This window comes from Homo sapiens, chromosome 1 (assembly GCF_000001405.40).
Source record: "Homo sapiens chromosome 1, GRCh38.p14 Primary Assembly".
In the NCBI taxonomy this organism is placed as follows: domain Eukaryota; kingdom Metazoa; phylum Chordata; class Mammalia; order Primates; family Hominidae; genus Homo; species Homo sapiens.
Window position 1 is genome coordinate 38207852 of NC_000001.11, and position 23015 is coordinate 38230866.

At 47.6% G+C, this 23015-nt stretch overlaps 2 long non-coding RNA genes across 6 annotated transcripts in view; one reads left to right on the top strand and one right to left on the bottom strand.

Moving 5' to 3' along the window:
* Positions 1 to 11389, top strand: part of LOC105378654 (uncharacterized) — a 77745-nt gene extending 66356 nt beyond the window's left edge. For 2 of the 5 annotated variants that reach the window (XR_001737985.1, XR_001737986.1), the window contains exons 4-5: positions 1420 to 4656; positions 5158 to 5244. This is a non-coding gene — a long non-coding RNA (uncharacterized LOC105378654). Of the gene's footprint in view, positions 1 to 1419; positions 4657 to 5157 lie in introns of all 5 variants that reach the window. The other 3 variants (XR_001737987.2, XR_002958294.2, XR_007065894.1) reach the window with 3 other exon arrangements.
* LINC01343 (long intergenic non-protein coding RNA 1343) lies at positions 1183 to 6916 on the bottom strand. Its single transcript, NR_038928.1, has 4 exons — positions 6866 to 6916; positions 4247 to 4600; positions 3883 to 3971; positions 1183 to 2971 (listed from the first exon to the last, which is right to left on the bottom strand). It is a non-coding gene; the product is annotated as a long intergenic non-protein coding RNA 1343 (long non-coding RNA).
* Positions 11390 to 23015: the final 11626 nt, after the last annotated feature.

Sequence of the window (23015 nt, forward strand, 5' to 3'; positions counted from 1 at the left end):
CTGGAACCCAGACTGAGCTGTGACTCTGGCCTCTGCTCAACTGGGCCGGGACCTTGGTCTTAGACTGAGCAGACTGAGCCCTGACCATGACCCCAGATTGAGCCCTGATCATCAAATCCATTTGCCTATGTCCTTCTCTGAAAGCAGCCCAGAGCCGACTGCCCACAATACTCACCAGTAGGGGTGGGTAAAAGGTGAGGGCCGGGCCCAGGTGGTACTGACAGCCTCTGGATGGCACAGGAGAGCAAGAGCAGAATTGACTTAGAGTGGTGGTGGGGTCGAAGGGTGGCATAACTGACCAGGAAGAGAAGACTCGCCTGCTGGGATGGAGACCAGAGGGCAGTGTCCCCTGCCCACCTTGAGCAGGTCCAAAATTCAGGCTGAGGAGGACAGAGCCCAGGTGGGTGGGCTTATGGGGTCCCAGGAGGCAGGAGGCAGGAGGCACTTGAGAATGAAGCAGGAAAGGCAGGACTGCCCGCCGGAGCCAGGGAGAGGACAGTGCGAGTGCAGTTGTGACCAGAGCTGGGGCCTGGGGAGGAACCCTCTTCCCAGGACCAGAGTCACCTGGAGCTCGGAAATCAGCAGCACCTAAGAAAGACAGGCAGGCAGAGGCCCAGCAAGGAGATGAACGCAGATCATTTGGGAATGAGCCAGCCAGGAATGACTTTGGTTAGGGGCTGGTGGTGATGATGGAAGGTGTGGAGTATTAGAGGGCACTCCCTGTTCTTGGTACTTCCAACTATGATCTGATCTAGTCCTCCTAACAGTTTAGTGAGATCTTGCAGCAGCGGCCCTGGATGCCCCAGTCTCCAACTTCCCCTGGGCACTCACTGCCCCATACCTGCCATGACTCTTCCTTAGGGTTCCTCTGGCTGCCAGAGTGTGCTTCCCTGGCACTGGAAGTGTATGTGTAGGGGGGTAGGTGTTAGGGCCCCTGGGAACAGTCAGCAATGGACTGGGGTGGAAGCATAAAGAGTCCAGCTTCCTCTCCTTCAAAGGAGACAGCTCTGAGGTCAGTTCTACGCTATGTCCTAGACCAGAGGCTGGGGAAGTTTGTTGGCAAAGGGCCAGAGAGTCAATATTTTAGGCTTGGAGGACCATATGGTGTCTGTTGCAACCATTTAACTCTGTCATTGTGGCAGAAAATCAGCCACAGATAATACAGACATGAGTGGGCATGGCTGTGTTCCAATAAAACTTTATTTACAAATTCAGGAGGCAGGCCTGATTTGGCCTGTGGGCTGTAGTTTGCCAACCCTTGAGATGGCCCCAGTAGGCCTGGGTCCAGCGTGGTCACCAGCTCATTCACGCGCCTTTCATTGCTCTCCTCCCCTTCCCAGTCTCACTTCTCCACTCCCTACTGGAACTTCCAGGATCTCTTCTTAAATAAATGACTTGATCTTGAATTCTTGTCTCTAGGTCTGCTTCAGGGGACCCCCAATCTAAGACAGATATCCCCAATTTCACATGAAGAGACTGAGGCAGCTGGAGGCAAAGCAGCTTGTACAAGACCCCACAAGAAGAGGAGGAGTTGCTTTCTTGAACTGCTGTGGTTTTACCCACAGTCACCGGACCGTGCTGCCGCCCTGGTGGGAGGATGTGTCTGCCTGCACAGGTTGAACAATCTCAAGACACCTTGCTGGAATTGGCAGAACATTGAGCTCATTCGGTCACTACCAGGGCTATCAGGCACAGAGGATGAGGCAGTCCTGCCCTGCCCTCTAGAACCGAAAGTCTGGACAGGGAGTGGCAGTTAAATGTGGGGCAGAATGAGATCAATGTCTCCAAGGGGTAACCCTGTCATCCTCTCCCTTGGATCTTCTCTGGGAGAGCTGCAGGACATGAGCGATCACTCTTTCTTTTCAGATGGGTAAACTGAGGCTCAGAGAGGAGATGGACTTGCCCCAGGCCACACGGCTTATACCTGGCAGAACTGAGTCTGTCCCAGGGCTCTTTGAGCACCTGGGGATGCAGAAGCTGGCGGGGTGGGAGGTGGCGGGGACTGTGGAAGGCTTCGTGGCTCTCATGGGCACTCCAGCTCACTGTCTTTACTGCCACAGCCACTGCTTCTACATTTGCTATCTCATTGGATCATGGCGCCTTGAACAAAAGTGTCCTTACTCATTATCTAATTGAACTCCCATTTTACAGGTGGGAAAATTAAGACCCAGAGAAGGAACTTCCCAGAGAGCTATCCAGTGAGCCAAGTCAGAGTTAGGAGCAGGAGCCTCAAATTCCCAGGAAAGCAGCACGGTCCTCGAGTTCCCCCAAAAGCCAGACGGCATCTTTGACACCTGACTCCCAGGGGCCAGTCCTGGAGAGGACACCTGGCCTGGAGCCAACCTTCCTCTCCTCGCTGCCAAAGCTCTGCTCTCTGGGTTCTGGCACTGTCTGAAAATTCCTCCGTTGGTCTGCTCTCGGCAGAGCATAGATTATCACTCTTGTGCTAATTATTTTTATGATTAAAAGATGATAAATTATTAAACAAAGTCTGAAAAATGTGCCAAGATCTGCTCTGAGGCTGGGCCTGAGAAGTTGCCCCCTTGGCGTCCACGTTAATTAATAAATGAGACTCTCCGTGGAGAGGAGCCACAGCTGGTATATCTGGCAGCCAGGCAGGAGCTGGCGGAGGCCAGATGCCATGCAGGTGGGGAGGAAGGGACTCCCTGGGAGTGCCCAGCCTGGGATTTGGTAACAGAGTCCCCTCCCTCTCTGCTCCCAGCCTAGGACTCAGCGGAGAGCCCCTTGGTACCATCCGAACATCTGGCCTCTGGAAGAGGCCTAGGATTTCAAGCTGAGAAGCTCCAGCTGATACTTTAATGCTGTTCCCCTCTCCAAATGCAGACTTGGGAGCACCCCAAGTGTCTAAAGGAAGGCCGGAGACCAGGATTCAAATCTCTGCGAGCCCATTTCTCCTTGGGTAACTTTTGGGTAGGTCACTCAATGAGACGCCAAGCCTCAGTTTCCTCATCTGTAAAATGGGTAGAAATGACATCTATTTTTGCAAGGGTATTGAGAGTGTTAAATAGGATAATGTCTATCAAGAGCACTCAGCTCCCAGCAGATGGTCAAAAAATGTTAGTTGGGCTGACTTGAAGCTTGGGTTTTTTGCTGTGCTGCCATAACTAGCTGTGAAACATTGGTCAGGCAGATTTACCTTTCTGAGCCTCAGTTTCTTTATCTGTAAAATGGGAATGAGAACTCCCAAATCTTAGGATCAAAGGGAAAACTATATGTGAAGTGTCTAACAAAGAGTAAGTACTCAATTAATGGTGGCTATTTTATCATAATTGTTTATTACAGCGCCAACACACTGAAGTTTCAACAAGTGGGTATTCCTCCTTCACCATGGGCACTTCTTCCTGCATCCTTTGCTGGTTCTCCTCCCTCCCCACCTTACTCCTTGCAGCGCCCTGGGCTCAGGCCTCCATGTCTTTCTTCCTTACACTCTCTCCCTTGTGAGCTCATCCATCTGTATGCTGATGGCTTCCACATTTCTAATGCTAGCCTCGACCCTCTTCCCAGAACTCCAGACTCCTACAAGCAGTTGCCCATTCAAACTCTCCCCTTGGGTGTTTAATAGATATATCAGATCTAATATGTCTAATAATGCATCTCAAATGGAATTCCTCATCTTCCCCTCTGCAAACCTGTTCCCCACCGCCCCTACAGTCTTCCCCACTTGGTTAATGATGGCTCCATCCTTCTGGTGACACCTTGGAGTCATCCTTGATTCTGCTATTTCTTTCACTTCAAATACCTAAACCATCAGGAAACCCGGACAGCTCCACCTTCCACCTCTGTTAGAACCTCAGCACCTAGCCATCCCCCATCACCTCCCCCACTCCCACCACCCTAGCATAAGGCACCATCACATCTTACCTGGACTCTTGCAGTAGCCTACTAATTGCTGTCCCTGCTGCGGTACTTGACCCCTATAGTAATGCTCTACATAGCTGCCAGGATGATCCCTTTAAAACACAAACACTAGACCCAGTCACACCTGCTTATAATCCTCCAAGAGGCAAAGTCTTTGCCAAGGCCACAAGGCCCTGTACTACCTGAACCTCCCCGCTTGCTAAGACCTCCCTCTCTTACTCTGTGCCAGCCACGCCTACCTTGGTGCTTTCCGTGAACACACCAGGGGCACACTCCCACCTTGGATCTTCATACTGGCTGTTCACTCTTCTCATTCCTCACCTCCCTCAGACCTCTGCTCAGAGGTCACCTTTGCTGTGAGGCTTACCTTGACTGTCCCATTTAAAAGTGCACCCCGACATTCTGCATGGTGGCTTCCCTCTTCCATTGTGCATGTCCTCTTCTTACATACTGGAGTTTCTTGAGCCTTGTGTTTGCTGTCTTCTCCCTCCAGCATTATCCGTTTTGTGCCCTGCAGCATTCCCACAGCAACCAGCACAGCCCTTGTGTGGTGGAGGTGCCGGGCATACTGAGATGCATCTGTCAGCATCTGCCTCCTGGTACCTTGGGCCTGCATGTCTGGCAGGCAGGTAGAAGAACACGCTGGCCATTTCAATGTTAAGACAAAGAGGTAGAGAAGGCTGGATGAAGGAGGTGATGACTGAACCATATCCTGAGGCAGCTGGGGTTTCCAGGAAGAGGACAGAGAGAAGGACATTCAGGTGGAGGAGCCAGCAGGTGCGAAGGCTCGGCAGCTCAGAAGCATGCTCTGAGAATGGCAGGTTGTCAATGGCAACCCGGGAAGGGGATGGGGGAGATAAGCTGGAGAGGAGGCAGGTGCCTGGGGTGGGGTGCAGAGGGAGGCCAGCTCAGATCTCCTGATTCTGCCTGGTCCTCCACCCTCTGCATAAGCAGATGGGGCACATGCCCACCCTCGTGATTTCCCAAAGGATACACAGTAGTTTAATTGCCAGAAACAGGATATTAGCAAAATAACCATATTTCATTGTGTCTGGGATGCACAACTATTTTCTACACCACTCAGAAACACTGCCGGCTAATGTGTGCCATGGCATGAAGACCCATGTGAAAGCATGTGCATCTTTCCAGTTGTGGCTTATATGGTAATAGGTAGTATTGCCTAGCACTGTAAAAGGACTTCAGATATATTATCTCACTGCATTCTTGCACCAACAATGGGTACCTATGAGACAAATAAATTAGTTCCCCATTTTACAGATGTGACAACCAGTGCACAGAGAGATTAACTAACTTGCCGTCCAGTGGGCATGTGGTGGAGCCCAGGGTGAAACCCAGGCAGTCTCTAAAGCATTGCCTTCCAACATGCAATGGAGTGTGAAATGCGGAAGCCATGGGGAAGCACAGGAAATCGGCCATGTAAGATAGGAAGCAATGGTTCGATTTATTCAGTGGTGACGTCCACCACAGCTGCATTCCAGTAATCTGCACCCCTCATCCCAACATCCTCACCCTGCTCTGCCTGTGTTGGACAACTCGTCTTCTTGACCGGAGGTGATCTCCCACAGTGAGGTAGCCCTACCCTTTTGTTTCAGCTCTTGGAAAACCCCAAACCTCAAGGCCATACACTCCTTGTGGCCAAGTGAGCATCTTGGCAACTTCCCGGCTTTTCCAAAGAGAACTAACTCCTGCTGGGGGCCCCCCAAGTCACCCCTCATGGCCCTTACTTCTAGTGCTCTGGAAATGGCTGAAACCAATGGATTAACTTGCTTTCCCTATTAAATATTTACATAAACACGCTCGGGAAGGTGTGTGTAAGTTATCAATAATGCAAGGCCAGCCTAGGCTCGGTGAGAGCTAAGAGACCCAAATTGTATCATCATAATCCATTATTCACATATAATGCGTCTATTCTCCTCCATTAGCGCAGGCAGGAAATGCCCCTGAGTGCCGGGCAGGGCTTTGGAAAGCGCAATAAATGGCGGACAGACACATGGCGGGAGGGCGGCAGCTGTAGTTAAACAAGTGTAAATTAGCGCCCAGCCTCGCTCCCTGCCTGCAGCCAGAGCGGCGGGCACAGGCCTGGCAGGGAGGGGTTACAGGATGTGGGGAACTCGCTATCAATCTAGACAGCCCTCATGGCCTCCCTGGAAACCCTTCCGGAGGAGCCCTCCAGCTGGCCGCGTGGGAGACCACGCCTCAGAGAGCACAGGCTTCTGCTCTGCAGGCCTTGGCTGGAATCTCAGCTGCACCACTGAGTGGTGACCTGGGGCGAGAGGGTGGAGGGGGCTGCTGCGCAAGCTGCCCCCACACTGAGCTCCGAGCCCCATCTGTAATACAGGGATGAGAATCACCGTCTCACAAGGTTGTTGCGTGAAGGAAATAAAATGAGAAAGGAGAAGTTCCCAGCATACGGCACACGGGAGGCCCTTAGAGAATGAAAGAACACTCCTCTCCCTCCTCCCGCTAGGCGGTTTCAGACTTAGGAATAAAACGGGAGAAGCTTTGCACCGTACCCAAATGGATGTGGTGCAAAGGCAATGCGAGGTAAAGACAGAAGTGGCTTTATGTTGTCCTCTCGTCAGCTTTGCTGTCCCTGCAGGAGGCTCCTCTCCTCTGGACCCCACCCGAGTGCCCGGTGCTGCGGTCCGTCTCCTGGGCTCAGCAAGCACACTCACCATCGCCACCCCGTCTCCAGGACTTCTTCAGCCCTTAGTCCGTCCACACCCTCTTCTCAGCACTACCGTATTCCCCTGGGAGGCAGGTCCTGCACAGAGACGAGCACATCTGCTGTTGAAACGACCCCAGACCAAACGAAAGTTTTTGATTACCCGTGAACTGGAAGGTGGACTTTTGGTATAAAGAGCACCAGACTGGGAGTTGGGAGAGCTGAGTTCTTATCTCTGTCACCGCTGATGCTCTGTGGTTTGCGGAGAGTCCCATGGCCTCTGGACCTCAGTCTGCCTACCTGTAAGAGTAAGGGAATTAATCAAATGATTTGATGATCACGCATGACTTAGTGAATGTGAAGTGCTAGGTGTGTCTCAGGACCCTTCCTGGCTCCAGAACCCTCAGGATCAGAGGCATCATGAGATTCTAGAATCAATATTCTGGTTCAAGTCATTGCTTTGTCTTGTCTCCACAGCTACAGCTGGATTTTTTCTAGCACCGAAGCTGTGTCGTGGTACAGAGACCCAGTGCCCTGGTGTCAGGTGGATGGGCATGAGCTTGATTCACCTTTTACAGAGGAATCACATTAGCAGCCCCTCCTTACCCCTCCCCTCCCACTGTAAGGGGTCATGAGCCCAATGCCTAAGGGCATGGCAGTGATGGCTGTTCAGTGGAGGCCACAAAATAAAATGTGAATTTGGAAAGGCAGGGAGCAGATGACCAGGTTTTGTACTTTTCGGACAATGGTGTCCACATGTGGGCGGTTTGTCTGGGCCAGACCAGTTCTTGGCTCTGATGCCACCTCCTCAGAGAGGCCCTCCCTGCCCTATCTAAGAGCCGCCCCACTACTCTCTTTCCCCCATCCATTTTATTTTTCTTCCCATCACTACCTGACATTTTATTGTGTACCTACTAGTTTTCTTGCTCATTGTGTGTTTCCTCGACTGGAATGTTGGCTCCATAAGGACAGGTATCTTGTCCGTCTTGTTCTCTGCTGTTCCCCTGAGGCCTGGCCCCTAGTAGAAATTCGATACGTACTGAATGAATGAATGATTGTAGATTCAAATTTAGCACACATATATTGAGCACCTACTCTAGGCCCATCACTGTGCAGGTGCTTTTACATATGTTACACATTTAATCGGCTTAACAATGACATCTATTCATATATATTAAGACCAGTGGGCACTAACATTAAATTTCAATTAAGTGAGCCTGGTAGGAATGCTTCACATCTCCTCCCCTGCTTCATGTGTGCCAGGGGGCTAATCATGATTGAAAGGCTGAAGCAGTTGAATGATGTTGTGTTCCTATGTCCTGATGCCTTCTCCCAGGCTTTCCTTTTTTTTTTTTTTTTTGAGATGGAGTCTCTCTCTGTCGCCCAGGCTGGAGTGCAATGGTATGATCTTGGCTCATCGCAACCTCCGCTTCCTGGGTTCAAGCGATTCTCCTGCCTCAGCCTCCTGAGTAGCTGGGATTATAGGCATGCGGCACCACACCAGGCTAATTTTGTATTTTTAGTAGAGACGGGGTTTCTCCATGTTGGTCAGGCTGATCTCAAACTTCCGACCTGCTTCGGTGATCTGCCTGCTTTGGTCTCCCAAAGTCCTGGGATTACAGGCATGAACCACCGCACCCAGCCTAAACTTTCCTTCTTGTCCTTCCTTCAGTTCAGCTCATCTGCTCTCAAACTCAAGGGTGTTTAGGTAAAAATGACTGTACTAGGTTATATACAAAGAAAGCCAGGGAGCCGATTTCAAGGAATTGAAGAGAAATTTGAACTCTATGCAACTTTTGCCTGATGTACCAATTTTGGAATCAAATGCTCATATGCTATATAAGATTACTGTACTAGCTGCGTGGCTTTGGGCAAGTTACTAACCCTCCTTGAGCCTCAGCTTCCTTATCTGTATATGAAGATATTAATAGCTACCTTACAGAGTATATAAGATCTGCATATGATCTGTATATGATAAGCAATAGGTGGGTTTGAATCCTACTTTCAGCGCTAACTAGCCATGTGACCTTAGACAAGTTTACGTAATCCTTCTGTTCCTCAGTTTCCTCATCTGTTACATGGGTGATATTAATAGGGTGTACCTTTTGATTGGGCTGGACCCTGTTTGCATTCTGCCCTGAAGGAGAGCGGGGCTGTGGGTCAAAGCTGCCCTAATTATAGGTGCAGCATCCGGAGCAAGGTGTTGCTTGGCTCTGCACTGCTGGCAGGTGTGGAAGTCCTTGCCCCATGGGTGAATTCCAGCGCAGTTACTGCCTGTGGGGCAGTAGTTGGCAGGTGGCAAAAGAAAAACTTTAAGAGAACACAGATGGTCACACTTGACAAAAAATGTTCTAGCAACCTCACCTACTGAAATCTCCAAATGTTCTCCAGTCCTGGGTACTTTAAACATACACTGGCCCTAATCAGTCAGCATTATTATAGTCCTTCGTTCATTTAACAAATAGGTATTGAGTGCTATTATGTGACAGGCACTGTACTAGGGAGTGAGAAAACAAGTCAGGCACAGTCTTCATCCTCATGGAGCATGCAATTTGGTGGCCATAGTGATAAAAAAAAAATAACAAGAATAATAAGAAGATGGCATCCATTTATAACATGCCCAGAGCCTGGGCTATGTGCTTTCATATAGCACCTTATTTAATCCTCACAACATTCCTATGAGGCTCATCTTAATATCCTCATTTTATAAATGAGGTACCTAAAGCCCAGAGAGGTGATGCGACTTCTGCAAGGTCCCAGAATTAGCAAGTGGTAGTCGAGACACTGGAATCCAGATCCATCTATTTCCACAGTGTTACTGTCACCTTTTCCTCTGAAGTAGCTTCCAAAAAGGGAGAGTCTCCTGGGCTACCTGGGACCTTCCAGAGGAAGGAAGGGCCTGGTGAGGACAGGAGAAAACAGTTGATCCTGAAATCCCTGCTCAGTGCTGAAGTGTGGAGACTGTCCTGCCGTAGATTGCAGGAACCCTATATGGGGCGAGCAGTAATAAGTCCCAGCTCAGTGTGCGGGTGGAGATGCCCGTGAGGAAGGGCCAGCCACAGGCTTGCTTGGGCAGTGGCCCAAGCTGGTGGTGTGACATCTTTACTGTCTGATTATTTATAGAGTCCCTGGGACAGCAGGCATCCAAGGCAGCTCAGAGGTTATGGGCTTGGGGACCAGGAGAAATAAATAGCCTTCAAAAACCCCAGCCTGGTGGGGGAAGATATGGAGCCAGGATGAGATGTCTGCCCCGCAGTCTGGTGGGGGCTATATGAGGAGAGGAAGGACTGGGGTCCCTGGAGCCTGCAGGGACCATGCTGGGGGACAGCTGGGGGACAGGCCAGACATATCTCTCCCTTGGCCACTGGGCTGGGGGAGACCTGAGAGCCTCAGCCCTGTGATGGAGGCAGTGATCTCACTGGGGAGGGCCTGGGGCCTGGGGCCTCGGACTCAGGTCATCATGCTAGCCTCTTGAGAGTGGCAAGGAGTCCAGAGCAGGGGCAGGAGCCTCAGGCTGTTGATTCTGCAGGAGGTCACTGTTCTATCAGAGTTCTATCAGAGAAGCAGAACGTGTGTGATCCGAGGGCTTTATGCTCGGGGCAAGGCTTTTCCTGATCATGGGAGCTGCTAGGCAGCGGTGTCAGCCTGTATTCACGTGTCTGCTCCAGACCTGGAGTCAGCAGGGCTGGCGGTCAGCAAGAGAAGATGGACAGGAAGAGGAAGTGAGCAAGGACAAGGCAGAACCCAAAAGAATGGCCTGAACACAAAAGGAGGAGCGTCACCAGTTGAGGGCTTGCTGGGATGGCATCTGCTTCTCACTGGCACCTGGGTGGCCTCCCACTGCCTCTAAGCCTCCAACTGATGATATGGGTGATCTGCAGAAGAACTAGCCCGCTTCACCACAAAGCTGCACACAAGCCAGGCCCCGAGTTTGGAGAAGCTGAAAGAGGAGATCGATCTGGGGTTGCCACCCCAAGATCGCAAGCTAACAAGGTGAGCCAGCAGGTGGGCTGCACACGCATGAGCTGAGAATCACCCAAACCCACATAGACCTTGAGTGCAAATGAAGCTGCTGCTCCACTTCTGCCTTCCAAATCTCACACAAATTTCTCTTGTGGCCACCCCTAACCCAGAACTGTGCAGGAAATTCTGGGACATGTAGTTCCAGCTTTGCTAAGTTGACACAGGACAAAGCGTGCACATTCACTGTGTGACTTTGACCAAGTCCTTGACCCTCTCTGAGCCTCAGTTTCACCATCAGTAAAATGTGGGATGGACTCCTCAGTGGTTCCTCTTTTAATGTAAAAAACAAAAACAACAAACAAACAACAACAACACAACCCCAAACCCCAAAACTACAAAAACAAAACAAAAAAGAGGCGGAGACATGGATTTCCTCATCTCTCCTTTGTGTGCAAATGAAAGCGAGGTCTCCTCTAAATAAACCTGCAAATCCCCAGGAGGCTGAGGCCCCAGGTGGGAAGCACCTGGGATAGATCATTTGCAGATCCCTCCTCCTTCGGACAGATAGAATACAAGGCTGAACTTAAGGGCAAGACCTGAGCTCTAGCATTGCTGCTGGATGACAAAGCAAGGTGGTAAGCCTCTCTGAGCCCAGCTTCTTTCCCTCTGTGATAAGAACAATTCTTTTACCTTTCAGGGGTCCATCACATAGATGTCAGATGCTGGGGTAGGGCTCAGAGTGTATAACAGGCTTCTTAGATGGTGACTTAAGATCAGCTTTGTGGAAACCACTGTGCTGTCTGAGGACAGGGAGACAGTGAATTCTAGGACTCCTCCTCAGTGGAGCTCTCTGGACTGTGGGGAGACCATTAACTAATGGTATGGAAACCATTTAAACAAAAGACTGTGGGGCTTCAGGGGAGAGGGAGACAGATTCTGCCTGAGAAGGCTTGTTGGGGAGAGAGTATTTGAACTGGGCCTTGATGAATGGATATAGCGGTGGTTAGCCCAAATGGAGGGAAAGGGTGGTTTAGGAAGAGGGAAGGGCTGGGCAAAGCCTGCAGTTGGGTGCATGCAGCGTGTATCTGGGGACTGGCAAGGACTGTGGTGTCGTGGAACAGAGAATGTGCAGGCAGGAAGAGGAAGGGTAGGGTGGAGAAGGAGCTGAGGATTAGCTTGTAGAGTCTTGGGTGCAAGCTAAAGAGTTCATCCCAGCATTAGCCAGTGCAAGAGGCTCAAGTGTGCAACACTAGAGTCGCCCCAAATGGGACACCAGGGGTCCCCACATCTTCCAGGCCTTTGGGGTAATTCCTTCACATTTGAAAGAGGTAACTCAAGCCCTTTCCACACAGTGGAAGCCCCTAAGTATTCTCAAGGGAGGCTTCCCATCCTTTTCTCAGTCTTCACTGCAGCTGGCTGCCCAGCTCCCTTCTGGATCCTGTAGCACCTGTCCTCACTTGCTGATCTCTTCACTCCAAGCTGGACCCTACCTGATTTCCTCTGCTCGGGGAGTCCACTGGTCCAGGGATGTTGGGTTGAGTAGACTTTTATCAATGGTTTATAGGACAGTGGTGGGGCATTCAGTACCCTCCAGCAGACTCGTGCCATGGGATGAGTATTTATATCACGGAAATCAGCAAATGCTGCACATCAAGGTCTTTCAGCCCCTTCCCTAGAGTTGGTTCTTCAACCCCCACCAGAACACCATTGATTATGCGCAGTTCAAATCACATTTCTTAAGTGAAGATCCTATATCCGGGCCCTATATAAAAACCCCTCAGCCAAAACCCATGCTGGGGAAGTTCCTGCTGTTGGAATTCTTTCATAGGACCCTAAGTTTTCTGCCATATTGCTGGTATTCTCTTTCCATAAACTCCCCACACATCCATTTCTCCCAGATCTTTCAGGAAACTCCACATTCTACACACAATTCAACCCTCTCTTAGTTTTGCCGTCTCTTTCCAGACCACTTCCTAGAGTGGACACTTTATATTTACACCCTCAGGGGCTCGCCAAGTTATTTTTTTTTCTATAGGAAGGAAGTTGCAGATAGGAGAGCTTTAAACAGATTTGTTTTCCCTTCCGCTATGCGAGTCAGCTAAGTTGGATTCAAAAGGTGGTTCTGCAGATACTAAAAGTGATAATTGGGATGCCTGAAACAACGTGGAAAACACTTGTAGGTCACATGCTCAGATCTGCACTCTCACTTCTGGGAATCAATTCTACAGAAACATTTGCACAGATGTATGTATAGGGATGTATGGTGGCACGGTGTGTGATAAACATTGGAAATATTCTAATCGCCTGGCAATGAGGGATAAGTGAAATAAGCAATGGAATGTATAAAGTAGACCAAAAGGTAGAAGTGGGTCTCTGTATATACTGACATGAAATATTTTCACAACATTTTTACAGAAAAAAGTTGCAAAACATAATTTTTTTTTTTTTTGGTAAAAATGTCTTAAAGTATACATATATGTGTGTGTGTGTGTGTGTGTGTGTTTATAGATACAGAAAAATGTCTGGAGGATGAGCCTTAAACTGTTAATAGTGGCAATCTTAAGGAATGGGTGTCTATTGGGGAGGGGCAATGTTCCCTTTTTTATATCATATATTTCTGCATAGTTTGCATTTGTTACCATAAGCATATATTGCTTATGTAATGTTTTTAAAACCAATGATTTTTACAAAGAGAAAATGCTTCAAACACAATGCCAAATATAGATGGTAGGATGCAAAATTGCTTACATATGGTGGTTACAACTCTACAGAAACTCGCGTCTGCGTGGACAGGAATGGAATGAGGAGCATCCCACAAGAAGTGACTGGTGGTTAGGGCGGGGTCCGGGGAGAATTCTTTTTCCTCTTTCAGAAGGCTGGGTAGGGCTGAGATCTGGGACATCTCAAATTCCTCCCAGCACCTTCCTTCATTCCACTCCTGGCCCATGTTCCCGTCACTTACAAGTGGCAGTGGGTATCAACTATTCAATTATTTTTAAATAGTCGAGTGTAGGTCTGGATTGAATAAATCACATTGATGCCAATTTCCAGGGAAGTCCTTTCATATTTTATGATTCACTCCCCACCGTTCCCCCTTTCCTTCCTTGTGCTCCTCCTAATGAACCAGGAGACTGTGCATACTGTTCAGATGTCCCCACTGCTAACCCTCAAATGGAAATGCAGCAGCTGAAAACATCGTGGTTCTGGGTTTTTTTTTTTTTTTTCCTTTTCCTCCTCACAGTCCTGGGAAATTGATATGCAGGCAGGATTATGTTTTGTTTAAAGCTCAGTCCTGGCATCTGAAAGAATACATTACCCAAATTGGTGCATGTGGTTGAAATTCTGCAAAACTCAGTTATGTCACAAGTGGCTTGCCAATGAGGGGTCCAGCCGGGTCTCAGGCAGCATAAATGCCCTGTATCAGAGAGAGTGTAACAGTGGAAAACCATCCACTGAGGAATATTCCTGAAGTCAATAATTTATCTGCTGCTGGTGGAAGGCAGGCCTACCAGGCACCTCTGCCACCGCCATGATCACCCAATATGCCACCAACTCCCAGTCCTGGGGATGAACGCTGCTTTCTTCCTTTCCAGTTCTTTTAAGATTAGAATTTGTTCAAAGAACTGATTGCACATAAACACAGAGACTAGAGGGTTTTTTTTCCTTCTCTTTTCATTTTGTAAAATGGTCGTAAAAGAAAAACAAGTCCGTTTGGAATTTAGAATTCTGAAACTGCAAGAGAAAGAACTGGACTTCACTACGTGTGCTTTGGGGTCTGCACTGCTCCTGAATCTTGTCCGTGACTAGGGCACACAGGGAGCGACTCATTGGCGATAATTTGGGAGTCACTGTGGACCCACTTGCTCTTTAAATGTTGGAGTTTTAATGATTTAGGAACCAAAAGAATAACTAAGGAGCCCAGCAGTCATTACCTCAAATAATGAGACTTTTTAATGCAAAATCAATGTTTGTTATAATGAAAATAGATTCCTCAGCTCCTGCAGGGCCAAATGTACAAATCTTTTCTGCTGTTAAATAAAATGTGATGGCTCATTTTCAGGAGGATGGTGAGCATTTTTATTCAAGAGTAAAAATAAAATGTCAGAACTTATTTACTTCTATTAAGTGCTCATTCTCAATCAGATACTCTAATCAATATCTAATTGGAGGCAAGGAACGGAAAATAATTTTTATGCCAACTTGGGAGAAGGGAAGGAAGGGAGAAGGCAGGCAAGAGAAAGCCATATAGCACATGTTCAGTTATAATAAGGGCAAATACCTATTGAGCAGATGCATAGTGCCAGGACTGTGCTAGGTGCATTACCTGTGTTATATCATCACACTGTCACAATAGTCTGGTGAAGATCGGTACCATTGTGGCTCCCATTTACAGGTGACAAAACTGAGGCTCAGAGAATCTACCTTCTCATGTTTATTATGTGGTGGAGCCAGGATGGAAAACCAGGTCTGTCTGACCTCTCAGCCCTGGCTGCCAATTACTCTATTTATCTGCCCCCTCCATCCTTCTAAAAAACAAGTCTTTTATTTTATAAAAAAAAGTGAGTCATTCTTGAGATTACCCATAGCAGAAGTTTTACTCCTATGAACACTGAAACTGTAAACTTAAAATAGTTTTGGAGGGTAAAGGTTTTTCTTAAATATATTACATACTTCTCTGTCTTGGGAAGCAGTACATGGAGTGACTTTGTTTTAGTGACTCAGAACTGGTTTCCAGACTTACCTCTGTGATGTGAGGAATCTATCGTCTAACGGTGAGAAGTGAGTTGAAATCCTAGCTCTGAAGTCTGTTACTGAGTGCCTTAGGCAAGTTTCTCTACTCCCTTTGTGAAAGGTTGGATCTCTTAATATCCTATGATTTTAAGTTACAGGAAGGTAGATGACATCAATTTAAAGAAGAATCTTCTAAACGTTAGAGTTATCTGAAACTTGGCTGGGCTATCTCAGAAGGGAGAACACTCTCTATCCCTGGAGTTATTCCATCAAGACCAGCTGTGGTGATGATATAGCTGATAAGGCATTGGACTAGCTATCTCCTAGGGGCACCAGCAAACTTCTTCTATAAAGGGCCAGAAAGTAAGTGGTTTAGACTTTGCAGGCCACACAGTCTCAGTCCCAGCTACTCAACTCTACTGTTGTAGAGCAAAAGCAGACACAGGCAATACACAAACAAATGACTGTTGCAGTGTCTCATTAAAACTTTATTTATAAAAGCAGACAAATGGCCAGATATGGTGCAGGGGGCATAATTTACTAACTCCTATTCTAGGCTCTTCCAATGAGAAACTTTATGATTCTCTTCTTGTTCCTTATGTTATTGTGCTGGGCTGAGCACTGGCATGAGGGCCTGCCATAATCAATAATAATGAGTTAATTCTTACATAAATCTCACCATATGCCACATGCCTTCTTAGCTCTTTATTTATCTTTTAACTCCTTTAATCCTAACAATGATCCTGAAAAGTAGTGATATGGTTTGGCTGTGTCCCCACCCAAATCTCATCTTGAATTCCCATGTGTTGTGGGAGGGACCCTGTGGGAGGTAACTGAATCATGGCGGGGCAGGTCTTTCCCATGCTGTTCTTGTGATAGTGAATAAGTCTCATGAGATATGATGGTTTTATAAAAGGACGTTTCCCTGTACAAGCTCTCTTCTCTTGTCTGCTGCCATGTGAGATGTGCCTTTCACCTTCCACCATGATTGTGAGGACTCCCCAGCCATGTGGAACTGTAAATCCATTAAACCTCTTTTTCCTTAAAAACTACCCAGTCTCGGGTATGTCTTTATCAGGAGCATGAGAACGAACTAATACAAGTAGTGTTCTAGTTAGGGTTCTCCAGAGAAACAGGACCAATAGGCTATATACAGAGGTGTATAAGAGGAGATTTATTATGGGCATTGCCTCACGTGATTATGGAGGCCAAGGCGTCCCATGATCTGCTGTCTGCAAGCTGGAGCACCAGGAAAGCTGCTGGTGCATTCAGTCCAAGTCCGAAGGCCTGAGAAACAGGGGAGCCAGTGGTTTTGTAACCGCCCAGTGAGTTTACCTTGCCCACTGCCTAGACACAGCGGATTTCTCAAGGCAGGGGAATTGCAATAGAGATAGAGTAATTCACGCAGAGCTGGCTGTGCAGGAGATTGGAGTTTTACTATTACTCAAATCAGTCTCCTCGAGCATTTGGGGATCAGAGTTTTAAGGACCACTTGGTGGGTAGGGGGAAGCCAGTGAGCCAGGAGTACTGATTGGTTAGTTAGGAGATGAAATCATAGGGAATTGAAGCTGACCTCTTGCATTGAGTTGGTTCCTGGGTGTAGGCCACAAGAGCAGATGATCCAGTTTATCTATCTGGGTGGTGCCACCTGATCCATCAAGTGCAGGGTCTGCAAAATATCTCAAGCACTGGTTTCAGGAGCAGTTTAGGGAGGATCAGAATCTTGGCCTCCAGCTGCATGACTCCTAAACCATCATTTCTAATCTCGTGGCTAATTTGTTAGTCCTACAAAGGCAGTCTAGTCCCCAGGCAAGAAGGAGGTTTGTTTTGGGAAAGGGCTGTTATCATCTTTGTTTTAAACTATAAAGTATAAACTAAGTTCCTCCCAAAGTTAGTTCAGCCTGTGCCCAGGAAGGAACAAGGACAGCTTAAAGGTTAGAACCAAGATGAAGTCGGTTAGGTCAGATCTCTTTCACTGTCTCGGTCATAATTTTGCAAAGGCGGTTTCAATATAACTCTCAGTCTGAGGCTGAATGCCCGAGAACCACCAGTGTGTGTGTGTGTGTGTGTGTGTGTGTGTGTGTGTGTGTGTATGTGTGTGTATGTGTGTGTATGTGTGTGTATATGTGTGTGTGTATGTGTGTGTATATGTGTGTGTATGTGTGTGTGTATGTGTGTGTGTATATATATGTGTGTGTCTGTGTGTGTATGTGTATATGTATGTGTGTGTATATGTATGTGTGTGTATATGTATGCGTGTGTGTATGTGTGTGTATATGTATGTGTGTGTATATGTATGCGTGTGTGTATGTGTGTGTATATGTATGTGTGTGCCCTCTGTGTGTATGTGTCTGTGTGTGTATGTGTCTGTAAGTGTGTGTATGTGCGTGTATATGTGTATATGTGTGTGTATGTGTTCATGCGCATGCTTGTGTAAGTCCCGGAGTCTAAAGGCCTGAGAAACTGGAGTTCTGATGTCCAAAGGCAGGAGAACGTAAAGTGAGAGAGCAAATTTGCCCTTCCTCTGTCTATTTGTGTTCTGTTGGGGCCCTCATTGGGCTGTCCGCCCACACTGGTGAGGGTGGATCTTCTATACTCAGACCATTGATTCAAATCTAATCTGTTCCAGAAGCACCCTCACAGACACACCCAGAAAGAAGGTTTTACCAGCTGTCTGGTTCTTCCTTAGCCCAGTCAAGCTGACACATAAAATTAATCCATAATAATTAGGAACCAATATTATTATTATTCCCATTTTACAGATGAAGAAACTGAGGCACATGGCGGTTAAATAACTTGCACAGGTCCCTGCAACCAGTCAGAGGTGGAGCTGGGCTGCAAACCTAGGCAATGTGGTTCCAGGGTCTGTGCTCCCAACCCCTGTACTGACTTGCCGTTTATTGCATCACTTTGAGTAAATCACGGCTCCCCATAAAATGCAAATTCCACCCTTACAGCTTACCAGCTGAGTGAGCTTGGGCAAGTCACCTACCCTCTCTGAACTTTGGCTTCCTTGCCAGACAATGGGAATTGTGATTATTTATCACGTAGGGCTCTTCTGAGGTTGCCTGTGATTTGTGAAAGCATCTTATTTAGGTCCTGGAACTTAGCTGGCGTTCAGAGAATGCTAATTCCTGCCTCTCTCCCTTAGTGATTTCCAGAGAATCTAGGAATTGCTAAGAAACAAAGAGAGAGAGGGTCTTGCTCAAGCAATTGAAGTGACAAGTTCCCACTGCCTCCTGTAGGTTTTTTCTTTTAAAAAAAAAAACATTGGCCGGGCGCAGTGGCTCATGCCTGTAATCCCAGCACTTTGGGAGGCCGAGGCGAGTGGATCATGAGGTCAGGAGTTCAAGACCAGCCTGACCAACATGGTGAAACCCCGTCTTTACTAAAAATACAAAAATTAGCTGGGCATGGTGGCGCCTCAGGAGGCTGAGGCAGGAGAATGACTTGAACTCGGGAGGCAGAGGTTGCAGCGGGCCAAGATCGTGCCATTGCACTCCAGCCTGGGTGACAGAGCAAGACTCTGTCTCAAAAACAAAACAAAATAAAACAAAAAAACTGTAAGAGTTTGTTGTAAAACTGTGTTTTTCCTACAAGGAAGTGCTCTGGCCCTCACTGTGGGAGTGGCAGGCCTGAATTATTCCTGTCGTTTTAGCAGGTCTGCTCTCTGGGGGTGCTTTCTCTGAAAGGGATCTTGTGAGGTCTGAGCTGGGAACTCTGACCCCAGGTTCTGGTCAGTAAAGTCTCTAGCTGTGGTCACTCCAGTTCTGGACCAGAAAAACATGGAGACCAGCTCTTTGGCCATCACATCATGGGAAGAGAAATGTAAAGAACGTACACATGGTTTGGCTTGTTGTAATCACTCAGTCCAGGGTAGCTATTGCCTCTACTGAAATGTACCAAGTCCTCAATTTATGCCAGGGCCTGTGCTCAGTATTTTTCATACATTTTCTCATTTTAACCTCCCAACAATGTTATGAAGTTGTTACTATTATCCCTGCTTCACAGAGAAATCTGTATCTACGTATCTATGAGGGGGCATATGACTAGCTCGGGGTACTGGAAAGGCTTAAGTAATATTAAGCCATTTGCCCAAGATCATAAGTGGTGGAGACACAGTTCAGTCCTGGGAAGCCTGAGCCTACAGCCTGTGCCTTAACTCTGTTCCCTATATCTGTATGTCAGCAAATCCTGTTTGCTTCTACCTGCAAACCGTACTCTAAACCCAACTTCCTGCCACCCTCACGACTACCACCTTGGGCCAAGATTATAGCGATAGCCTGCCAACTAGTCCCATTGATTTTATTCTTGCACCCAAACCCCATTTATTCTCAAAATAGCAGTCCGTGTGGTCCTTTTCTTAAAAAATCAGCTGTATTGAGGTGTAATTTACATAAAATAAAATTCACCAGTTTGAAGTGTACAATTTAATGAGTTTTGACAAATGTAAACCTTCAAGTTCACACCACCACAATCAAGACAGGGAACATTTCCATGGCAGTGTGTTTTTTCAAAAAACTTTAAGTCAAAGCGTGTCACTCTTCTGCTCAACATTTTCTGAGGGTTCCCATTTCCCTTAAGTAAAAGTTGAAATTCTTGCAATGTCCTACAGGGCTGTGGCAAAGAAAAGGCTATGGGTTTACCAAGCCATGTCATTTTTTTCATGGGCACAAAGGAAGACCATATTTCCTATTGTCCTTGTATCTATGTGGGGCATATGAATAGCTGGGAAGTAGATAGTACTGGGAAGTAGATAGAAATGATGTCCATCCCTTCCAGGCCTGGGGCCTAAAATTTCTGGAGAGATCCCTGCTGTTTCTTTCCTCTATTTGTCAAATGAATATGGAAGACCCCATGGAGCACTTTGAGGCCTGGAGGATCTGAGAGTTTCTGAGCTGGGAACTGAGAAGAGATACCCTGTTAAGCCGCTGAGATTTTGGAGGACTTAGTGATGCAGCAGCTAGTGTTAACCCTGACCAAGGCTAAGGTCCTGCCCGCTCTAACCTCCGTCACCCTGGAACCTGTGAATGTTCCCTTATAAGGCAGAAGGGATTTCGCAGATTCGCATCTTGAGATGGGGAGATTATCCTAGATTATGTGGGAGGGCCCAACGTCAACACAAGCATCCTTATAAGAGGGAGGCAGAGGGAGATTTGACTACGGAAGAGAAGTCCATGTGATGACAGCAGCAGAAATTGTAACGATGTAGCCACAAACCAAGGCATGCCAGGGGATGCCAGCAGCCACTAGAGGCTGGAAAAGGCAAGGAGTGGCTTTTCCTCTGGAGTCTGCCGAGGGAACCTCGCTGATACCTGGATTTTAGCTCTGGAAGACTCATTTCAGACATCTGGCCTCCAGAGCTGTGAGAAAATACATTTCTGTTGTTTTAAGCCACTAAGTCTGTGGTAATTTTTTTACATCGGCAACAAGAAACTCACAGACTGCTTCATCTGTCTGAAATGCTTCTCCTGCAGATCTCTGAATGGCTGTCTCCCTTACCTCCTTTACTTTGCTCACATATTTGTCACTTTCTCAGCAAGGCTTCCTTAACTACCTTCCTTAACTATCTATTTAAGAGAGTACCCTGGGACTCCCTCTCCCCCTTCTCTATTTTTTCTTGTCTCCAGAGAACTTGCAACTGTCCGACATACCATATATTCTGCAGTTTTCTTTTGTTTACTTATTTCCTCCCTTCATTGGAAGGTAAGTTCCAGGACCCTAACCTGTTTTTTTCACTTGCTGTGTTCTCAAGAACAGAGCCTGGCACAGTCAGCTCACAGTAAATATTTGTGAAGGAGTGAGTAAATTAATGGATGGTCAAGAGGCCCCTTGGATGGAGGAATGCCTGGACTTGCAGAGCCAGCAGGTGCCTGGCCTTTTAGGGCCCTTTGGAGAAGTTTTGGGCCTGGTGGTCCCTTTATTCATCCTTTCCTGAGCGTCTCCTGGGTGTGGCACCCTGTGGGGAGTGATTGGAGATCTGAGGCACTCGTGGACACTTCTTCCAAGGGTGTTCACTTGGGCCAGGACATGTGAATAGTTGTAGATTAGGGTAATGTAGAGAGAAGTCAGGACCCTAGCAGGCAGAGCTGGGAGCTCAGATGACAGCCAGGAGATTCCTGAAAGGGGTCTTCTGGATGGGCTGAGAAGGATGTGGACTGGGGAGGGAAGAGGATGCTCAGGCAGAGAGACTGATGTGAGTAAAAGCCCAGAGCAGGTAATCCTGGGGGTGTGCTGGGACATCCTAAAAGTTTCCTTTTGCAGAAGTAGAGAGTGCGTGCCAGGGAGATTTGCAAGATGGAGTAGGAAAGGCAGGCAGGGCCTAGATCAAAAGAAAGCCTTAAATGTCTCCCTAAGAAGAACAGACTTCATTCTGCAGAGAGTGGGGCAGGGGGCAGTAAGGACTGTTGAAGAAACATTCAAAAAGGGGGAAACATACCTGTAATTCCAACATCAGATCTCATCAATCATCTCCACTTCTTTGCAGGCCCTGCCTGGGTGTCCACCCATGTAGGAGTCACATGTAAGCCCCTGGGAGCAAATATTTGGGGCTGGCCAGTCCCTGCATTTGTTACTCCTCATCTAGCCCCACCCTTTGACCAGCATGTTCCTGTAGCTCTCTCCCTCTCTGCTCATGGAGGCTGGTCCTTCAGAATGAGGAAATCATCTCTCGGAGTCATGAAGTAGCTGAAGCATTCTCACCGCCTTGTGGAAAACAGAGACAGGATGACACTTCTGTGCCTAGAACCTGGTTCACAGCACAGGCCAGCTGGATATGATTGATTTTCATGTTACTAGAACAAGAACCCACTGAGCACATACCAGGTTCCTAGCACTGTGCTAAGGGATCTGCAGACAGCTCCCCTCTAACCCTCACGACAGAGGGGACATGTTGGGCTGTCTCCCTTTCTCCAGATAAAGAGACTGTTGCTCTGAGAGGTCACAGAATAAGTGAGTGCTGGAGCCTGGATTGGAAGCCAGGCTGTCCAAGTTCAGGTTCTTGATAACTGGGTAATAGTCCACTCCATGGCAGAGCTTCTTAAACTGGGGTCCATGGACTCCCATGGGTCTGTGGATAAATCTGAGGTTTGTGAATGAGAATAGAAAAAACAATTACAGGATAGCCCCTTATCCACAGTTTCAGTTACTCAAAGTCAACCATAGTTCAAAAATATTAAATGGAAATTCCAGAAAAAACAATCCATAAGTTTTAAATTGGGCACCATTCTGACAAGCGTGATAAAATCTCACGCTGTCTTGTTCCATCTCCCACAGGACATGAATCATCCCTTAGTCTGGCATCTCCATGCTGTAGATGCTACCTGCCCATTAGATGCCTAGTATCCACCTGGGTTATCAGATCCACTCCCTGGTATTTCAGTGCTTGTGTTCATATAAACTTATTTTACTTAATAATGGCCCTACTGGGCATGGTGGCTCATGTCTGTAATCCCAGCACTTTGGGAGGCCAAGGCAGGTGGATCACTTGAGGTCAGGAGTTCAAGACCAGCCTGGCCAACATGGTGAAACCCCATCTCTACTCAAAATACAAAAATTAGCTGGGTGTGGTGGTGGGCGCCAATAATCCCAGGTACTGAGGAGGCTGAGGCATGAGAATTACTTGAACCCGGGAGGAGGAGGTTGCAGTGAGCTGAGATTGTGCCACTGTACTCCAGCCTGGGCAGCAGAGTGAGACTAAGTCTCAAAAAAAAAAAAAAAAAAAAAAATGGCCGTAAGAGTAGTGATCTCGCTGTTT